The 20,706-nt window shown below is 40.5% G+C and overlaps 1 pseudogene, besides 1 other annotated feature; it reads left to right on the forward strand.

The window, feature by feature from the left end:
* Positions 31-622: an enhancer, noted in NCBI's record as "OCT4-NANOG-H3K27ac hESC enhancer chrX:114927785-114928376 (GRCh37/hg19 assembly coordinates)". NCBI's record gives its function as "activates a minimal SCP1, AML or CMV promoter by ChIP-STARR-seq in naive H9 embryonic stem cells {active_cell/tissue: H9 hESC(naive)}" and the evidence as "EXISTENCE:reporter gene assay evidence [ECO:0000049][PMID:30033119]".
* Positions 9,357-10,761, forward strand: EEF1GP5 (eukaryotic translation elongation factor 1 gamma pseudogene 5; annotated as a pseudogene).

Here is a 20,706-nt window from a genome sequence, read left to right on the forward strand (position 1 = left end):
TATAAAACTTAGCTGGGCGTGGTGGCACACACCTGTAGTCCCAGCTACTCAGGAGGCTAAGGCAGGAGAATTGCTTTAACCTGGGACTGCACTCCAGCGTGGGTGACAGGGCGAGACTCTATCTTAAAAAAAGTGGGGGGAGATGCGTGGGGGAAGCAGGATGGAGGGGAAAGGGGGCGGGCATGGTCACATTACTGAAGGCACATGTTGCAAGAGAAAAGGAGCTGGTAAGGGAATAGTCAATCATGTATTCGTCTCAGGCTCAGTAAATCGGCACTTTACATAAGAAAAGGTGAACACTGATTAGCTACCTGTGGAGATATTTAACCTTTTATCTGTAGCTATCTGCTTAGGAACAAAAGAAAAGGCAGCTGCTTGCAACACTCAGATTTCAGCTTAATTTTTTCCTTTTAGCAGAGTGAATTGGGGTCACACATTTTTCTCTTTGTTTCAGAAGTTTCTATAGCATTTTCACGTAACACTCTCCCCTTAACGTCCTCCACCTGGTAGCCTTCATCTAGACCAAAACTCAGGGCTTCAAACCCCTATATGGCTCGTGTTCCACGGGACAGGATGGTGGCTCAGATGTTCCTCATAGACAAAGAACGAAACTCCGGGTTGGTCACTCCTGTTTTAGCAGCAGAAAACGGATTAAGACAACCCCCTAAGGTGAAATTTAAAAATCCATTTATATAACACAGAGAGAGCAAAGGATTTGCAGCATGAGAGCCTCACCTGTGTGAAACTATCCTGCACCACGCTGGTTGTTCCCCTTGGCAAAGCCACGCGGCCTCTATGGACTTTGGTTTCCTGGCACAAGTAGTTACTGAATCTGCCCACCCAGCAAATAGGACAAAAAAAAGGTGATGACTTGGTTCTTTAGGTGGGGAAATGGCCATTCCTCCCTAAAGTGAAGGAGAAAAAACAAGGAGGAATCCAGACAGGGGTAGTTAAAATTCATAGCCCAGGTCTTTGTCATATGCTCATGTTGTGCTGAACCCCTGTACACTCCAATGGGGATGAATACTGGGTTCAGTAGGCTGAAGAAGAGACCCAGAGCCAGTGAATGAGACATGAGGTTTTATTGAGGGCTTACAATTGGGGAACAAGACCCAACGACAGTGGGCTGGACAACAGAACCACAACCACTTGCAAAATAAAGTCACACAATTTATAGAGGGTTTTATTTTGAGATGGAGTCTCGATCAGTCGCCAGGCTGGAGTGCAGTGGCGCGGTCTCGGCTCACTGCAACCTCCACCTCCTGGGTTCAAGCGATTCTCCTGCCTCAGCCTCCCGAGTAGCTGGGACTACACGCACGTGCTAACATGCCCAGCTAACTTTTTTGTATTTTTAGTAGAGACGGGGTTTCACCATGTTGGCCAGGATGGTCTCGATCTCTTGACCCCATGATCCGCCCACCTCGGCCTCCCAAAGTGCTGGGATTACAGGTGTGAGCCACCGCGCCCGGCCTTATATAGTATTTTCACTTCACAGCCTCCCCCTAACAACCTCCACCTGGCAGTCTTCATTTAACCCAAAATACAGGGCCTTGAACCCCTGTATAGCCCACATTCCATGGGACGGGACGGCTGGGGGTTCACAGCTTCTTCATAAATAAGAAATGAATCTCTGTGTTGGCCACCCCCAGATTTCTTAGCTCAGAACTTCAAACACACATTCAGGATTCAGGTGCGTCTGCCATACAGGATCATTCTCAGGATATGCTTAAGTTATTACTATCAGGTGAATTTACCATACAGCTCCCATTATAAAGTGAGAAAGTTGTGGCAGAGCATTAACCCATCCTGCCAATCCACACCCCACCAATTGAAAGTAGTTGGGAATTGGGACCTATCCTGTGGAGACCTGTAATGCAGGAGGGCAGCCGCCTGGCCAGGACAAAGAACTTAAGGGGCCTCACTGTCCTCCTCCCGCTTCCCTCGTAATACCCACCTACCTCTGCCCAAACACCTAGGGGCTCTGTTAGAATAAAGGGCTGTGAGTCAGGGCCTGAGCTTAAGGTTGGAAGTAGTTTTTCAGCAGGTGCTCTTGGGGGGCCTAAGCATGGGAGAAAGTCAGCTGTGGGAGAGTGAAATGGAGGCAGGACATTCTGAGGAGTTGGGGGCGATCAAAGACAGCTGTGTGCCCTGAGGTTAATGCAGAGATTTCTTCTAAACATGTTATTAATAAATATATGAATGATTTTATAAACACAGAAAAATTAGTACACAAATACACAGCAATCTTTAAGGGCGGTTACACTGGGCAGTGGATGTGGGCAGGAGTGACTTCAATTTTTCCTTGAAACACTTTTGTATTTGTGAAGACGTTTTTCCTGAAAAAATAAGAAGGGATTACATCTGTCAATAGAAATCAAAAAGGTAGGTCCACAAAAATCTTTTCATTGTTATTGTTTACTAACTAAATGGCCAGCAAGTTACCCACGGACCTATAGAGCTCACTAGACTATTGTTTTAAAACTATATTTGTATCTCTCTGTCCTTAGGGAACAAGGTGCTGGGAGGATACACAGCCCCATTTAATACTCCTCATCTCTCATCACTGGCTATTTTCATTTTCTTCTTTACCCTGTACATGTCTCCTTAGGTGAATATTATTTTGCAAGAGGAGTGTGTTTGTTTTCTCAAAACAAAGAACATACAAATCAGGGCACTAGTCAGGTAGGGGAAGCCTGCCAGCTGCTGTCACTCCTTTGGCCCCGACACATTGCCGCCCACCTAGGCAGCATCGGCGCCACCAAGCAGCAGCCCTTAAGGTGCTGGCCCTCTAGCAGTTCCATGACAAAGAGTGAGAGGTGATAGGGCGCAGGCAGTGTCTGGTCTTGGGAACCTGCCTCTCACCTGGGGAGGGAGCAATTAAGGCATATGAATGATACAACAGGCAACATTATCATTTGAACATGTACTTATTTAAATTCTTTTTTACCTCTCAATAGGGTTGTGAATGACTCTTCTGTTTTGTTGTTAGGTCTCGATTTTTTTTTTTCTTCTTCTTCTTCTTCTTCTTTTTTTTTTTTGAGACAGAGTTTTGCTCTTATTGCCCAGGCTGGAGTGCAATGGCATGATCTTGGCTCACTGCACACTCCGCTCCCAGGTTCGAGTGATTCTCCTGCCTCAGCCTCCCGAGTAGCTAGGATTACAGGTGTGCACCACCACGCCAGCTATTTTTTGTATTTTTAGTAGAGATGATGAGGTTTCACCATGTTGGCCAGGCTGGTCTCGAACTCCTGACCTCAGGTGATCCACCCACCTCGGCCTCCCAAAGTGCTGGGGTTACAGGCATGCGCCACCGTGCCCAGCCTGTTGTTAGTCTCAATCATCCTTTGTGCACTTGCCAGCAGTTAGCTCCCTTAAAGAGAAAAATAGGTTCTCCCTGGGCAAGTGGCAAAGGATGAGAAGTTTCTTCTCTAGCTTTCTGAAGCCCGTGCCTCCCTGCCTCTTCAGGCAACAGAGATAGCCCATCAGGGACACAACACATACAATAGATTGTCATCCCAAAACCCTACTACAAATACTTCTGGGCTTACTCCTAGCCTGGAGGCCAGGAGAAAGAGAAGAGGGAGCATGAGAGGTGGTGACAACCCAGAATAATGGGACACTATCAACAACCATCCTAGTTCTGTGGCAGAATGGGCAAACCATGAAGAGTAGGGGTTACTATAGCCTTCCAGTGTCCTGTTCTAAGAATAGAACAGGATGTCATTTTGTAAAGAGTGGCTCTGTGTCCCTAGTCAACAAGAGTGACACAGTGGATTTTCTAGGGGGAAGATGGGCTGTAATTTCTAAGAGCTCTGCTGTTTGGCCTGAAGGGACTAACTTTATTTGTTTGTTTGTTTGTTTGTTTATTTATTTAGAGACAGGGTCTCCCTCTGTCATCCAGGCTGGAGTGCAGTGGCATGATCACGGCTCACAGCTTACTGCTCAAGCGATCTTCCTGCCTCAGTCCCCGAAGTGCTAGGGTTACAGGCATGAGCCTGTATAACTAACTAACTTTATTTAGAATAGAGAGTGGTGAAATCTGTGACCAGTAGAGGTCTTGGAGAATACTTAGAGAAAACCAAGAAAAGAGACAGCCAGAAAGAACCCTCTGGATCACAGTCCAGAGGTTTGGGGAACTCTGTGTACAACAGGGATGGCTGTAGCCAATCAAGAGTGAACCTTAGCCGGGTGTGGTGGCTCACGCCTGTAATCCCAGCACTTTGGGAGGCCGAGGTGGGTGGATCACAAGGTCAGGAGTTCGAGACCAGCCTGGCCAACATGGTGAAACCCCGTTTCTACTAAAAATACAAAAATTAGCTGGGCATGGTGGCACATGCCTGTAATCCCAGCTACTCGGGAGGCTGAGGCAGGAGAACTGCTTGAACCAGGACCCGGGAGGTGGAGGTTGCAGTGAGCCGAGATCATGCCATTATACTCCAGCCTGAGCAACAAAAGTGAAACTCTGTCTCAAAAAAAAAAAAAAAAAAGAGTGAGCCTTAGAGCAAGACATAGGCAAGACATAAAAGCATTTTCCAAGCCATGCACAGAGTCAACACAGAACAGAAGCTTCATTGGCATGAGGGGTTTAAACACAAAACTCTGACCAAACACTGAACAATAAGCTGCTCTGACTCAGGGGTGACTCCTAGGAAATCAAACATAAAAACAATATCACAAATACCAAAAGCACAATCAATAAAAGATAAAATATATATACTGAAACACATCAGCCAACAGGAGAATAGACAAGTACATTGTGGCATTGTTATACAGTAGAGTATGCTCAACATACATAATTCTCAAAAACATAATTAATCAAGAAAAGTTGGAGAACAATGTACATAGCATAATACTGATTTTATAATGTTTAAAAATATGCATAGCAATGCAACATGTGACTTACAAATTCATACTAGGTAGCAATCACATGAACAATACACTTGAGAAAAGTACCCGTTCAGGTGATCGTAGCTGCCTCCAGGAAGGAAAAAATAAAGAAAATGGAAAATCTAAAATATATATATATATATATATATATATATATATATGTGTGTGTGTGTGTGTGTGTGTACTATATATATATGTGTGTGTGTGTACTATATATATGTACTATATATGTGTACTATATATGTGTGTGTACTATATATGTACTATATATATGTACTATATATATATACTGAATATATATGTACCATATATACTGAATATATATGTACTATATATATACTGAATATATATATATACTATATATATACTGAATATATATAGTATATATACTGAATATATATATACTATATATACACTGAATATATATAGTATATATACTGAATATATATATACTATATATATACTGAATATATATACTATATATATACTGAATATATATATACTATATATATACTGAATATATATATACTATATATATACTGAATATATATATACTATATATATGCTGAATATATATATACTATATATATGCTGAATATATATATACTATATATATGCTGAATATATATATACTATATATATGCTGAATATATATATACTATATATATGCTGAATATATATATACTATATATATGCTGAATTTATATATACTATATATATACTGAATTTATATACTATATATACTGAATATATATACTATATATACTGAATATATATATACTATATATATACTGAATATATATACTATATATATACTGAATATATATACTATATATATACTGAATATATATATACTATATATATACTGAATATATATATACTATATATATACTGAATATATATATATACTATATATATACTGAATATATATATATACTATATATATACTGAATATATATATATACTATATATATACTGAATATATATATACTATATATATACTGAATATATATATACTATATATATACTGAATATATATATACTATATATATACTGAATATATATATACTATATATATACTGAATATATATATACTATATATATACTGAATATATATATACTATATATACTGAATATATATATACTATATATATACTGAATATATATATACTATATATATACTGAATATATATATACTATATATACTGAATATATATATAGTATATATATACTGAATATATATATAGTATATATATACTGAATATATATAGTGTATATATACTGAATATATATACTATATATATACTGAATATATATATATACTATATATATACTGAATATATATATAGTATATATATACTGAATATATATATACTATATATATACTGAATATATATATACTATATATACTGAATATATATATACTATATATATACTGAATATATATATACTATATATATACTGAATATATATATATACTATATATATACTGAATATATATATATACTATATATATACTGAATATATATATATATACTATATATATACTGAATATATATATATATATACCAAATAACATCAAAATTTAAAACTTCTATGCTTCAAAGGACACCATCAAGAAAGTGAAAACAAAATTCACACAATGGGAGAAAATTTTTGTAAATCCTATATCTAATAAGAGACTTGTACCGAGAACATATGATGAACAATTGCAACTCAATAAACAACTAGATTTAAAAATGTGTAAGATCTTTGAATGGACATTCTCCAAAGAAGATATAAAAATGGCCAATAAGCACTTGGAAATATACTCACCATCATTAGCCATCAGGGAAATGTAAATCAAAATCACAAAGAGATACCACTTCAAATCTACTGGGATGATTATAATTAAAATCAGGCCGGGAGCAGTGGCTCACGCCTGTAATCCTAGCACTTTGGAAGGCTGAGGCAGGTGGATCACTTGAGGTCAGAAGTTCAAGACCAGCCTGGCCAACATTGTGAAACCCTGTCTCTACTAAAAATACAAAAATTAGCTGGGCATGGTGGTGGGCACCTGTAGTCCCAGCTACTTGGGAGGCTGAGGCAGGAGAATTGCTTGAATCTGGGAGGCGGAGCTTGCAGTGAGCCGAGATGGTGCCACTGCACTCCAGCGTGGGCAACAAGAGTGAGACTCTATCTCAAAAAAATAAAAAATAAAAAAATAAAAATTTTTGGTGAGCATTAGAGAAATGGGAACTCTCATACACTGCTGGTAAGAATGTGGACTTTTTCTCTCTCCTCTTCTCCCTTCTCCTGAATGTAAAATGTTACAGCCACCTTGCACATAAGTCTGGCAGATCTTCACACAGTTAAACATAAAAATTCCATAACCTACCAATTTCATTCCTAGGTAGGTACCTAAGGAGAAATGAAAACATATGTCTGTACAAAAAATATACATAATCATAGCAGCTTTATAGGTAAGCACTGAGTGCATCCCTAGTGTCTAGCAAAAGGTGAAGGGATAAAGAAATTGTGGTAGATATTGTATTATTCCATCTACGAAAAAAATGTCCAAGCCGGGCATGGTGGCTCACGCCTATAATCTCAGCACTTTGGTAAGCTGAGGCGGGAGGATCACTTGAGCCCAGGTGTTCGAGTCCAGCCTTGGCAACATAGGGAGACTCTGTCTGTACAAAAAATAAAGAAAATTAGCCAGGGCATGCATCTGTATTTTCAGATACTCCAGAAGTCTAGGTGAGGATTGCTAGAGCAGCAGCGGTGGTGGAGGTTGCAGTGAGCTGAGATGATGTCACTGCACTGCAGCCTGGGTGACAGAGTGAGACCCTGTCTGTAAAAAAAAAAAAATCCTGGCTGGGCGCAATGGCTCATGCCTGTAATCCCAGCACTTTGGGAGGCCAAGGTGGGTGGATCACTTTGAGCCCTGGAGTTCGAGACCAGACTGGGCAACATGGTGAAGCCTTGTCTCTACTAAAAATACAAAAATTAGCCAGGCATGGTGGCCAGCTACTTGGGAGGCTGAGGCTGGAGAATCCCTTGAACCTGGGAGGCAGAGCTTGCAGTGAGCCGAGATCGTGCAATGGCACTCCAGCTTGGGTCACAGAGCAAGACTCCCTCTCAAAAAAAAAAAAAAAAAAATCCAGAATAGGCAAATCTGTAGAGACACAAGGAAATTAATGGTTGTCTAGGGCTGTTGAGGGTGGCAGTAGGGGGCAATAGCAAAAGGGTATTATATTGTGAAATATAAATATTTAGTCTTCGCTGGGCACGGTGGCTCACGCCTGTAATCACAGCACTTTGGGAGGCCGAGACGGACGGATCACGAGGTCAGGAGATCAAGACCATCCTGGCTAACACGGTGAAACCCCGTCTCTACTAAAAATACACAAAATTAGCCGGGCATGGTGGCATGCACCTGTAGTCCCAGCTACTCAGGAGGCTGAGCCAGGAGAATCACTTGAACACAGGAGGCGGAGGTTGCAGTGAGCCAAGATCGTGCCGCTGCACTCCAGCCTGGGCAGCAGAGCAAGACTCCATCTAAAAAATATATAATTAAATAAAAAATAAAAAAAGTAATTAAAAAAACTTAGTCTTCAAGTCCTGGTTTCCTAAAACGGCACCTAAAACCCTTCAAATCTCCAGAGTGATAAGAATGTCTTTTGTATGCTAATGAGATGACTGGTGGCAGCCCCTATGTAGCTGCAGAGTGGGAGCTGGTCACTGGAAAGACCAAGCATGATTAGAGGGTTGGGACTTTCAGCCCCACTTCCCAAACTTCAGGGAGGTAACAGGGGTTAAAGGTTGACTTCATAACCAATGGCTGTTGATTTCATCAATCATGCCTATGAAATGAAGCTTCTATAAAAGCCTAAAAGGACAAGGTTTGGGACCGTTTCCAGATAGCCTAACACATCTAGGTTCCTGGAGGGTGCCAGGAGAAGGCACAGAAGTTCCACACCCCTTTTCACATACTTTGCCCTGTGCATCTTTTCCATCTGGCTGTTCATCAGTATCCTTTGTAAAACGCTTTCTAATAAATGAGTAAATGTAAGTAAAGTGTTTTCCTGAGTTTTGTGAGCCATTCTATCAGGCCAGTATAACCCTCATATCAAAACCAGGTAAAGCATCACAAATAAGGGAACTACAGGCCCAACATGGTGACTCACACCTGTAATCCCAGCACTTCGGAAGGCTGAGGTGGGCAGATTGCTTGAGCTCAGGAGTTCAAGACCAGCCTGGGCAACATGGTGAAACCCTGTCTCTACTAAAAACACCAAAAAAAAAAAAAAAAAAAAAAAGCTGGGCGTTGTAGTGCACACCTGTAATCCCAGCTACTCGGGAGGCTGAGACAGGAGAATTGCTTGAACCTGAAAGGCGGAGGTTGTAGTGAGCTGAGATCACACCACTGCACTCCAGCCTCGGTGACAGAGTGAGACCCTATCTTAAAAAACAAACAAACAAAAAAGCCTTTCTTTGCGGAATCACCATGGCGGCTGGGACCCTGTACACATATCCTGAAAACTGAAGGAACTTCAAGGCCCTCATTGCTGCTCAGCACAGAGGGGCTCATGTCCGTGTGCTCTCCGCACCACCCCATTTCCACTTTGGCCAAACCAACCGCACCCCTAAATTTCTCCGCAGATTTCCTGCTGGCAAGGTTCCAGCATTTGAAGGTGACGATAGATTCTGTGTGTTTGAGAGCAATGCCATTGCCTACTATGTGAGCAATGAGGAGCTGCAGGGAAGTACTCCAGAGGCAGCAGCCCAAGTGATGCAGTGGGTGAGCTTTGCTGATAGCAATATAGTGTCCCCAGCCAGTACCTGGGTGTTCCCCACCTTGGGCATCATGCGTCACAACAAACAGGCCACTGAGAATACAAAGGAGGAAGTGAGGCAAATTCTGGGGCTGTTGGATGCTCACTTGAAGACAAGGACTTTTCTGGAGGGCGAACGAGTGACATTGACTGACATCACAGTTGTCTGTACCCTATTGTGGCTCTATAAGCAGGTCCTAGAACCTTCTTTCTGCCAGGCCTTTCCCAATACCAACCGCTGGTTCCTCACCTGCATTAACCAGCCTCAGTTCTGCACTGTCTTGGGGAAAGCAAAACTATGTGAGAAGATGGCCCAGTCTGATGCTAAAAAGTTTGTGGAAAGCCAGCCTAAAAAGGACACACCACGGAAAGAGAAGCGTTCACGGGAAGAGAAGCAGAAGCCCCAGGCTGAGCAGGAGGAGAAAAAGGCGGCTGCCCCTACTCCTGAGGAGGAGATGGATGAATGTGAGCAGGCGCTGGCCGCTGAGCCCAAGGCCAAGGACCCCTTTGCTCACCTGCCCAAGAGTACCTTTGTGTTGGATGAATTGAAGCTCAAGTACTCCAATGAGACACACTCTCTGTGGCACTGCCATATTTCTGGGAGCACTTTGATAAGGACTGCTGGTCCCTGTGGTACTCAGAGTGTCGCTTCCCTGAAGAATTCACTCAGACCTTCATGAGCTGCAATCTCATCACTGGAATGTTCCAGTGACTGGACAAGCTGAGGAAGAATGCCTTCGCCAGTGTCATCCTCTTTGGAACCAACAATATCAGCTCCATTTCTGGAGTCTGGGTCTTCCGAGGCCAGGAGCTTGCCTTTCCACTGAGTCCAGATTGGCAGGTGGGCTATGAGTCATACACATGGCAGAAACTGGATCCTGGCAGCGAGGAGACCCAGATGCTGGTTCGAGAGTACTTTTCCTGGGAGGGGGCCTTCCAGCATGTGGGCAAACCCTTCAATCAGGGCAAGATCTTCAAGTGAACATCTGTTGCCATCACCTAGCTGCCTGAACCTGCCCTTCAGGGAGAAGGGGTCATTAAAGAAAACTGAACATTGGAAAAAAAAACATTTTTGGGGTTGTTATTTTTTTATTTTTATTTTTATTTTTATTTATTTATTTATTTATTTATTTATTTATTTATTTATTTATTTTTGAGATGGAATCTCACTCTTGTCGCCCAGGCTGGAGTGCAGTGGCACAATCTTGGCTCACTGCAACCTCTGCCTCCCAGGTATAAGCAATTCTCCTGCCTCAGCCTCCCAAGTAGCTGGGATTACAGGTGCCCAACACCACACCTGGCGAATTTTTGTATTTTTAGTAGAGATGGGGTTTCACCATGTTGGACAGTCTGGTCTTGAATTCCTGACCTCAGGTAATCTGCCCACCTCGGCCTCCCAAAGTGCTGGGATTACAGGTGTGAGCCACCACACCCGGCCAAAAAAACCTTTTTAACCTTTGCCAATGTGATACAGGAACAAACACATTTCAGTGCTGTTTTTAAAAGACAGCCCCAGCCTGGGCAACAAAGCCAGACTTCGTCTCTACAAAAAATAAACAAAAACTAGCCAAGCGTGGTGGCACGCACCTGTAGTCCTGCCTACTTGGGAGGCTGATACAGAAGGATCACTTGAGCCCAGGAGGTTGAGGCTGGAGCGAGCTGTGATCACGTCACTGCACTTCAGCCTGGGCAACAGAGCAAGACATTGTCAAAAAAAAAAAAAAAAAAAAAGAAGAAAAGAAAAAATAAAAAGAAAACTACAAACCAATATTCCCTATGTATGTGGATGCACAAACTATCAACAAAATACTAGAAAGGTGACTACAGTAACATGTAAAAATAACTATACAATATAACCAAGTGTGATTTATCCCAGGAATACAATGTTATTTTAACATCCAAAAATGAAATTATAAAATACCCTATATCAAGAAAAAACACAAAAATCACATGATTATCCCAATAGTTGCAGAGAAAAAACTGACAAAATCTAACACCCCTTCATATAAAAATATTCAATAAACTAGGAATAGAGATAACTTCCTCATCCTCATAAAGGGCATCTGGGAAAAACCCAAAGCTAAGGCTGGGCATGGTGGCTCACGCCTATAATCCCAGCACTTTGGGAGGCCAAGGTGTGTGGTTCACTTGAGCTCAGGAGTTTGAGAGCAGCCTGGCCAACGAGGCGAAACCGTGTCTCTATGAAAAATACAAAAATTAGCCGGCTGTGGTGGCGGGCGCCTGTAGTCCCAGCTACTCGGAGAGGCTGAGGCAGGAGAATGGCGTGAACCCGGGAGGCGGAGGTTGCAGTGAGCTGAGATCGCGCCACTGCACTCCAGCCTGGGCGACAGAGGGAGACTCCGTCTCAAAAAAAAAATAAAAAATAAAATATATATTTGAGATTTACACAGGTGTACAGAGGGCTTTGGGATTATTAAAATGTAAGGATTTTCTTTTCTTTTTGGGATGAGGTCTCACATATGGCCCAATTTTTCTTTCTTTCTTTCTTTCTTTCCTTCCTTCTTTCTTTCTTTCTCTCTCTCTTTCTTTCTTTCTTTCTTTCTTTCTTTCTTTCTTTCTTTCTTTCTTTCTTTTTCTTTCTTTTCTTTCTTTTCCTTCCTTCCTTCCTCTCTCTCCCTCTCCCTCCCTTCCTTCCTTCCTTCCTTCCTTCCTTCCTTCCTTCCTTCTCTCTCTCTCTCTCTCTCTCTCTCTTTCTCTCTCTCTCTCTTTCTTTCTTTCCTTCTTTCTTTCTCTCCCTTTCTTTCTTTCTTTCTTTCTTTCTTTCTTTCTTTCTTTCTTTCTTTCTTTCTTTCTTTCTTTCTTTCTTTCTTTCTTTCTTTCTTTCTTTCTTTCTTTCTTTCTTTCTTTCTTTCTTTCTTTCTTTCTTTCTTTCTTTCTTTCTTTCTTTCTTTCTTTCTTTCTTTCTTTCTTTCTTTCTTTCTTTCTTTCTTTCTTTCTTTCTTTCTTTCTTTCTTTCTTTCTTTCTTTCTTTTCCTAAGATGGAGTTTCGCTCTGTCGCCCAGGCTGGAGCGCAACAGCTCAATCTCGGCTCACTGCAACTTCCGCCTCCCAGGTTCAAGCGATTCTCCCACCTGAGCCTCCCGAGTAGCTGGGATTACAGGCACCCGCCATCATGCCTGGCTAATTTTTTTTGTATTTTTGTAGAGACGGGGTTTCACCATGTTGGCCAGGCTGCTCTCAAACTCCCGACCTCAGGTAATCAGCCCCATCTCGGCCTCCCAAAGTGCTGGGATTACAGGCATGAGCCACCGCGCCTAGCTCCAATTTTCTTTCCTTTTTTCTTTTTCTTTTCTTTTCTTTTTTTTTTGAGATGGAGTTTCCCTCTTGTTGCCCAGGCTGGAGTGCAATGGCGCGATCTCAGCTCACCGCAACATCCGCCTCCTGGGTTCAAGCAATTCTCCTGCCTCAGCCTCCCAAGTAGCTGGGATTACAGGCATGTGCCACCATGCCCGGCTAATTTTTTGTATTTTGAGTAGAGACGGGGTTTCTCCATGTTGGTCAGGCTGGTCTCGAACTCCCGACTTCAGGTGATCTGCCCACCTCGACCTTCCAAAGTGCTAGGATTACAGGCGTGAGCCACCGCGCCTGGCCAATTTTCTTTCTAAAAGGAAATATTGTGGACCCAATTATTCACATCATCATAACAATTTTTTCTCTAAACAAGTTTTGTGGCTAGATGTGGTGGCTCATGCCTATAATCCCAGCACTTTGGGAGGCTGAGGCAGGAGGATCACTTAAGGCCAGGAGTTTGAGACCAGCCTGAACAACATAGTGGGACCCTGTCTCTACAAAACATTTTAAAATTAGCCAGGTGTGGGGTGGTATGTTCTTGCAGGAGAATATACTGGAAGCTGAGGAGAATATACTTGAGCCTAGGAGGTTGAGTCTGCAGTGAGCCTTGATCACGCCACTACCCTCTAGCCTGGGCAACACAGTGAAGCTCTGTCTAAGAACAAACAAACAAACAAACAAACAAACAAACAATTTTGCTTGTTTAATATGTTGTCACAAAACATTCAGGACAGTCAAGTAATGCCTGGGTCTTTTCCACACATGAAAATGGTTGATTGTCTTAGAAAATAAAATCCATAGAGCTGTTTTTTTCCCTATAGAGTTATTTAAAATAAAATGAGAATTTGCCAAAAAGTCTGCTACTAGTCATATTTTACTTCCGTCTAACAAGAAACTTTCCTACCATAGATCTCAATGTGACATGACACACAACACATATCTAGTTTCATTACCTGGGTTCAATATTGCTGGAGTTCTGTTCTGAGCGTCTTGATTTTTTCTTCCTTTTTTTACTTCTTGGCTTGAAGTTAGGATTGGGCTCTGAATTCTTAATTTGTCTGCAATGATCACCACCATAAATATACACTTAATAAGGTATTTTCAGGAAATCTCTAAGCAATATTACATATGAAATATATAGAGCATTTTTTGCTCCTTGAGTTTTCACACCCTCACTTATTGACTATTTTCATGATAATTAAGTACTCATGTGGGGGTGGGGCTGGTGCCGGTGGTAGAAGTGGCAGTAATGAGGAAATAGATCCCCAACTAAAGGCAAACCATCATGTTTTCATTCCTAGAAAAAAAAAATCAGCCTTGGTAACGTGGTGAAAACCTGTTTCTACAAATAAGAAAAAGAAGAAGAAGAGAAAAGAAAAGAAAAAAAATTAGCCAGGTGGGGTGGTGTGCACCTGTGGTCCCAGTTATTAGGGAGGCTAAGGTAGGAGGATCCCTTGAGCCTGGGTGGGGCTTGAGGCTGCAGTGAGTCAAGATCATGCCACTGAACTCCAGCCTGGAAGATAGAATGAGACCCTGTCACAAAAAAAAGAAAAAGAAAAACATGGGTGGACCAAAAATTTTTCTTCATTTATCATGGACATTTTAACTGTTTTGTGCTGAAATTCAGATCTTAAAAATAAACATGGTTTTTACATGTTTTATGCCATACATACACAAAGTCCTGGAAACAACCCAAATGTCCAGGAACTGATGAATGAATTAGCAAACTGTCACATATCCATACAATATAATACTCATCAACAACAAAAATGAACCACTGATACATACAACAATATGGATGAGTCTCAGAAGCATGGTGCTGAGTGAAAGAAGTCAGAAACAAATGGATCATTATTCTACGATCCCAAGTATATGATACTATAAAAAACCAACACTATATGCATAGAAATTAGATCAATGGTTGCCAGGGGCTGGAAGTAGGTTGAAGGCATTGAAATACAAAGAAACCCAATGCAACTTTCTGGGGTCATAGTATGGCATGAGACCACCACTTCTCGTGTTGTCTTTCCCAGTTTCTCCCCAACCTCCCCTTTTCCCTAGTTTATAAGACAGGAGAAAAGGGAGAAAGCAAAAAGTTGGAAAGAAACAGAAGTAAGATAAATAGCTAGATGACCTTGGCGCCACCACCTGGCCCTGGTGTTTAAAATAATAATAATAATAATATTAACCCCTGACCAAAACTACTGGTGTTATCTGTAAATTCCAGACATTGTATGAGAAAGCACTGTAAAACTTTTTGTTCTGTTAGCTGATATATGTAGCCCCCAGTCACATTCCTCACACTTACTTGATCTATTATGACTCTTTCACGTAGACTCCTTAGAGTTGTAAGGCCTTAAAAGGGCTAGGAATTTCTTTTTCGGGGAGCTCGGCTCTTAAGACGCGAGTCTGCCGACGCTCCCGGACAAATAAAAAACCTCTTCCTTCTTTAATCCGGTGTCTGAGGAGTTTTTCTGCAACTCATCCTGCTACAATAGAAAGATTCCATATCTTGATTGTGATGGTAGATAAATGACTATATGTATTTGTCAAAATTCATACAACTCTGTACACCTTCAAAGTGAATTTGACAATAGGTGAATTATACCTCAACAGAAATAAAAGCATATGTTCACACAACATGTGTTCCCACACACAAAGGTACCTAACAGCTTTATTTGTAATGATCAAAAACTGGAAATACCTCAAATGTCCATCAACAGGAAAACAGACAAACTGTGGCATATCTATATAATGGAACACCACTCAGCAACAAAAGAAATGAATCATTGATGCACTCATGGATGAATAACAGAATAACTATTCCAAGTGAAACAAGCCAGACAAAAAAAAATCACACTCTATATCATTCCATTTATTTGAAACTCCAAAAACCTATTAAATTTTTTATAGTGATATACAGCAAATCAATGACTGCCAGGGGATGGCAGGGCAGGGAATGGTATGAGGGGAGGATTACAAAGGGGAAGGAGTAGTTTCTGAGGTGTTGGATATTTTCAGTATCTTGACATGGTGACAGTATCACAGATGTATACATACATAAAAATGTATCAGATTAGAGCGGGGCACGGTGGCTCATGCCTGTAATCCCAGCACTTTGGGAGGCCAAGGCGGACAGATCACCTGAGGTTGGGAGTTCAAGACCAGCCTGACCAACATGGAGAAACCCCATCTCTACTAAAAAAATACAAAATTAGCCAGGTGTGGTGGTGCATGACTGTAATCCCAGCTACTCAGGAGGCTGAGGCAGGAGAATCGCTTGAACCCAGGAGGCGGAGGTTGCAGTGAGCAGAGATTGTGCCATTGCACTGCAGCCTGGGCAACAAGATCAAAACTCCGTCTCAAAAAAAAAAAAAAGTATCAAATTACACACGTCATTCTATTATTTATAAATTTATTTTTATAGAGTTACTTATAAATAACTTCATTGTATTTTACAGTATGTATGATTATATCATAAAAAAATATATATACACACACACACATTTATATTATTTTATTTAGAGACAGGGTTTCGCCATGTTGTTCAGGCTGGTCTGTAATTCCTGGGCTCAAGCGATCCACCCCCCTCAGCCTCCCAAAGTGCTGGGATTACAGGCGTGATCCACCATGCCTGGTCCAACATATTTCTTGAACTACTTCTCAACTGATAGATATTTCACTTGTTTACAGTGCTTCACTATAATGCTACAAAAAATATCCTGTGGTTATGTTTTGGGTCCAGAAATATAAAGTACTGTATAACTGAAACAATATTAAAAACTCTTACAAAAGAGAAAGAGTAAAATATGTGGTAAGAGTAGATTATTAAGTAAAACAATAATATCTAATATATAGGATGCTTTACCTTTTATGAACTTTCCTCTGCTGTTTTTGTTCACTTTCTTCAACTTTTGCTGAGTCCACGCAAGAATTATTAAGATTAAACAAAAGCAATGAGAAATTATGTCACCTCCTTTAGGCAAAGGTGGCTGCCAGCCGATAACTCTACTATGCAGGCTATTATTTTTATGTAATTGCCAATAAAGAGAAATTGACCTATACCACATATAAAACATAAGCTACCATATATTCTTTCTTAGATAACTTACTGAATAGAGATTGTCAAGACCAAGCATCCGTGAATGTATTTGACCACATTATCACTATTTTAAAATGATTTAACGTATGTTAAACTTTTATGATTATAGAATTCTTTAAAATTTCTTTTATAATTTATTATGGGTGACTCCATGTTTAAAATGGTTTAAAGATTCCATGTTTAAAATGGTTAAGACTCAAATGACCCTGAAACTAAAAGCAATGAGAAGAGGATACACAATAACACTCATTAACTCAGGATTCCTAGTGAAAGATTTTGCTTACATAACATTGGATCGAGGTAGAAAGTATACGCATATAATGAAAGGAACTCAGGAACATTCAAATCGTCCAGGTGGATGCTTTTTCTTTCAATATATCTATAATTGCCTTAATAATAATTTAGTCCTGGTTAAACATAAACATGACATAGTATGACATAAATAATCTCTTTGGAGCAATAATGTAGGTTTCATCACTGTGCATACATAGGGATCCAGAACATTGGAATGTGATGGATATGTCTGCTATATTCATTGCACTGATTCTTTCACAGCTGTCACCTATGGCAATATTTATCAAATAGTACACTTTAAATAAGGGCAGATTCTTGTCTGTCAATTATACCTGCACTACTACAGCTTACAAAAAAAAAGAAAATCTGCGTGGCTGGGGCAAACAACTAAGTAGAAGAGCAGTAAATGATGAGGGCAGAGTAACCACATCTTGTTGACAACGAGTTGTGGCTGGTTCTTATTTTAATTCTAATTTTAAGGGAAAGCCCTGGAGAGTTTTAGGCAGGGGCCTGATATGATCCGAATGTTGGAAGACACAAGAATCACATATATGTATGAAATTGGAAAACACTGAGCTCTTTGGAGAGGTCCATAGGTGTCCTTGAGGTTCCTGAATTTGTGTGTACGTGCACATCTGCTTTTTATAAAAATTCCCATACCATTCACCAGCTTCTCAAAAAGGTCCTTGAAAATAAAATATTGGCCAGGAGCGGTGACTCACGCCTGTAATCCTAGCACTTTGGAAGGCCAAGACAGACGAATAGCCTGAGGTCAGGAGTTCAAGACCAGCCTGGCCAACATGGTAAAACCCTGTCTCTACTAAAAATACAAAAATTAGCCGGGTGTGGTGGCAGGCACCTGTAATCCCAGCTACTCAGGAGGCTGAGGAAGAGAATCGCTTGAACCCAGGAGGTGGAGGTTGCAGTGAGCCGAGATTGTGCCACTGCACTTCAGCCTGGACAACACAGTGAGACTATGTCTCAAAAAAAAAAAAAAAGAGAGAAAAAGAAAATATTAAGAACCACTCATTTATTGGACCATCATTTTAGTTGAGGAAATTGAAACCTAGAGAAGTAAAATGATTGGTTCAAAACCAGGGTGACAAGTTGATGAAGTCATAATAGGTTTATGATGCTGATCACCCTCTCTCACCTGGTCCCCTTATCTCTCCCTGCCCCCAATACTTTTGATAAATAAAACATAATCATAAGGACCTGGTACACAGCACAACAAGCCAATGTCTGCTGAACCTTGGCTTCAGGATTTGCCCAAGTTACCAAGAGAGTGTGTGTGCTGATCCATTCAAGATTGGAAGCCAATAGAAAGGTTTGAAAGTACTCTAATGACTTTCTCATGAAATGCATATAACTTTCTAAATTGCCCACAGTAAGCATGTATTATTAAAACCACAAAGAAGAATACATCATAAATAATAAACTATTTACCTTTGATTGTTACTGTGAGCCTACTCTGTGCTATGGAGAAAAGAATAATATATAATTGGCATGCTACAGATGTAGTTTTCTTTCTTGAAATGCACCACAAATAAGTTTATGCTGGATCATTTCCAACAGCAATTTCAGTAAGGTGTAAATAAAACTGCTTAACCAGAAGGCCACACAGCAGAGTGCACCTCACATGGGAAGGTTCACACAGCCTTCAGAGATCCCAGTGTAGAATGCCAGGAGGGTCCTTTTTTCAGTAATCCAAGGGGACAGACAGGATCACCTCAAATTGTTTCCCAGCTCTACAGTTTATAGAAATATCAGGCTATTTTGATAGCCTTGCAAGGTCCCAGGTTACTAAAATAACCCTGCCTTTCATTGCTCAATGTTGACCATTGAGAACATGGCTATGATGCAAGCCAAAGCCTAATGAACATACGGTTTCTACCAAACCTCCATGGTACCAGTACAAACTGGATGAAAACATTTCAGAAAGTTATACTTCCAAATATCAAGGCATTTAAATCTAGTTAAATAATGACCTTTTCTGGGGCTTTCAGTTTAATCTGAGTTCAGCAGTGTTAGAACTTATCAAATAGGTTATTTTCAACCCCACAGGGAGAACTCTCATGATCATCATAATTAACAACTCTAACCATAGAGTATACATGGACACAGTGCCTAACCAGATATTAAGAGAGGAAGTTCAGTGAGAGATGTACCTTTAAAAATGAGTCTATTGTACAGAAGGGAGTAAAACACAATCAAAGGACAATTGAGAATTGTGTTACATACATATCAGATGCGGGATATCAGTTTTCGATCTTCATCTGTGTTTGAAGTCTGGGTCCACACCACCACAGGGCCATACCAGCTGTAAATGATAGTCTTCTATTTTCTTAAAATAGTCTGACCTGAAAATGAAAGTATTGTTGAATTCCTTTGCCACAGACACAAACCAATTTTCCCAAGTATTCAGCAAGGAAAAACAAAAAAACAAAAACAGTATTTTTAACTATTTAAAATATAGCAAGGGCCAAGCATGGTGGCTCACATCTGCAATCCCTGCACTTTGGGAGGCCAAGACAGGCGAGCTGCTTGAGCCCAGGAGTTTGAGACCAGCCTGGACAACATAGCAAGACCTCATCTCTATTTAAAAATAAAGTAAAATAAAATAAAAACATAACAACAACAATTTAAAAAGACCTTCAAGCCACTACACACCCTGGGGAGAAATTAGCCTAAGGCTGAAGCTGGTCTGGCCTTTATAGAGACACACCTATTGTGATGTAATCAACTATGACCAATTAGTAACCTCATATGGTAATGTCTGGGATTCAGACTTGTGGTCAAAGATACTGAACAGGCTTTTCTGCTTACTTAAGCCATTGTTCCTTTTCTGAAGTTAATGAAATAAATAATCTCTTAGGTCCACATCCAAACACACGGAAATCTGTTCTCACCTGTAGTTTATTGATTCCAATCATGGTTGAGTATCCTGACATTGGGTGTGAAGCAACAGTTTGGAATTCATACAGCATTGTTACTCAAGTAGCTATAAACACCTTACAAAACTGGACTGAACCACTTAAGTGAGAGGTTATTGCAAGGATCTGTTTATACATATTCCCAAAACATCCATTTTATAGAAGCATACACAGTTATTATGCGTGGCTATAGCCTCAATTTGTTCAAAGCATCAAAGGTCTGAAACCATGTCCTAATTGTGTGAACCATGAAGGTAACTGTGGCCTTAATCCTGACCAATTCACACTACCAAACAACAACGCAGCACCTCTTGCATCAAAATTGGGGAACATTACTATTTGTCAGTGATGAATACATTGA

Source organism: Homo sapiens, chromosome X, assembly GCF_000001405.40.
Source record: "Homo sapiens chromosome X, GRCh38.p14 Primary Assembly".
NCBI lineage: Eukaryota > Metazoa > Chordata > Mammalia > Primates > Hominidae > Homo > Homo sapiens.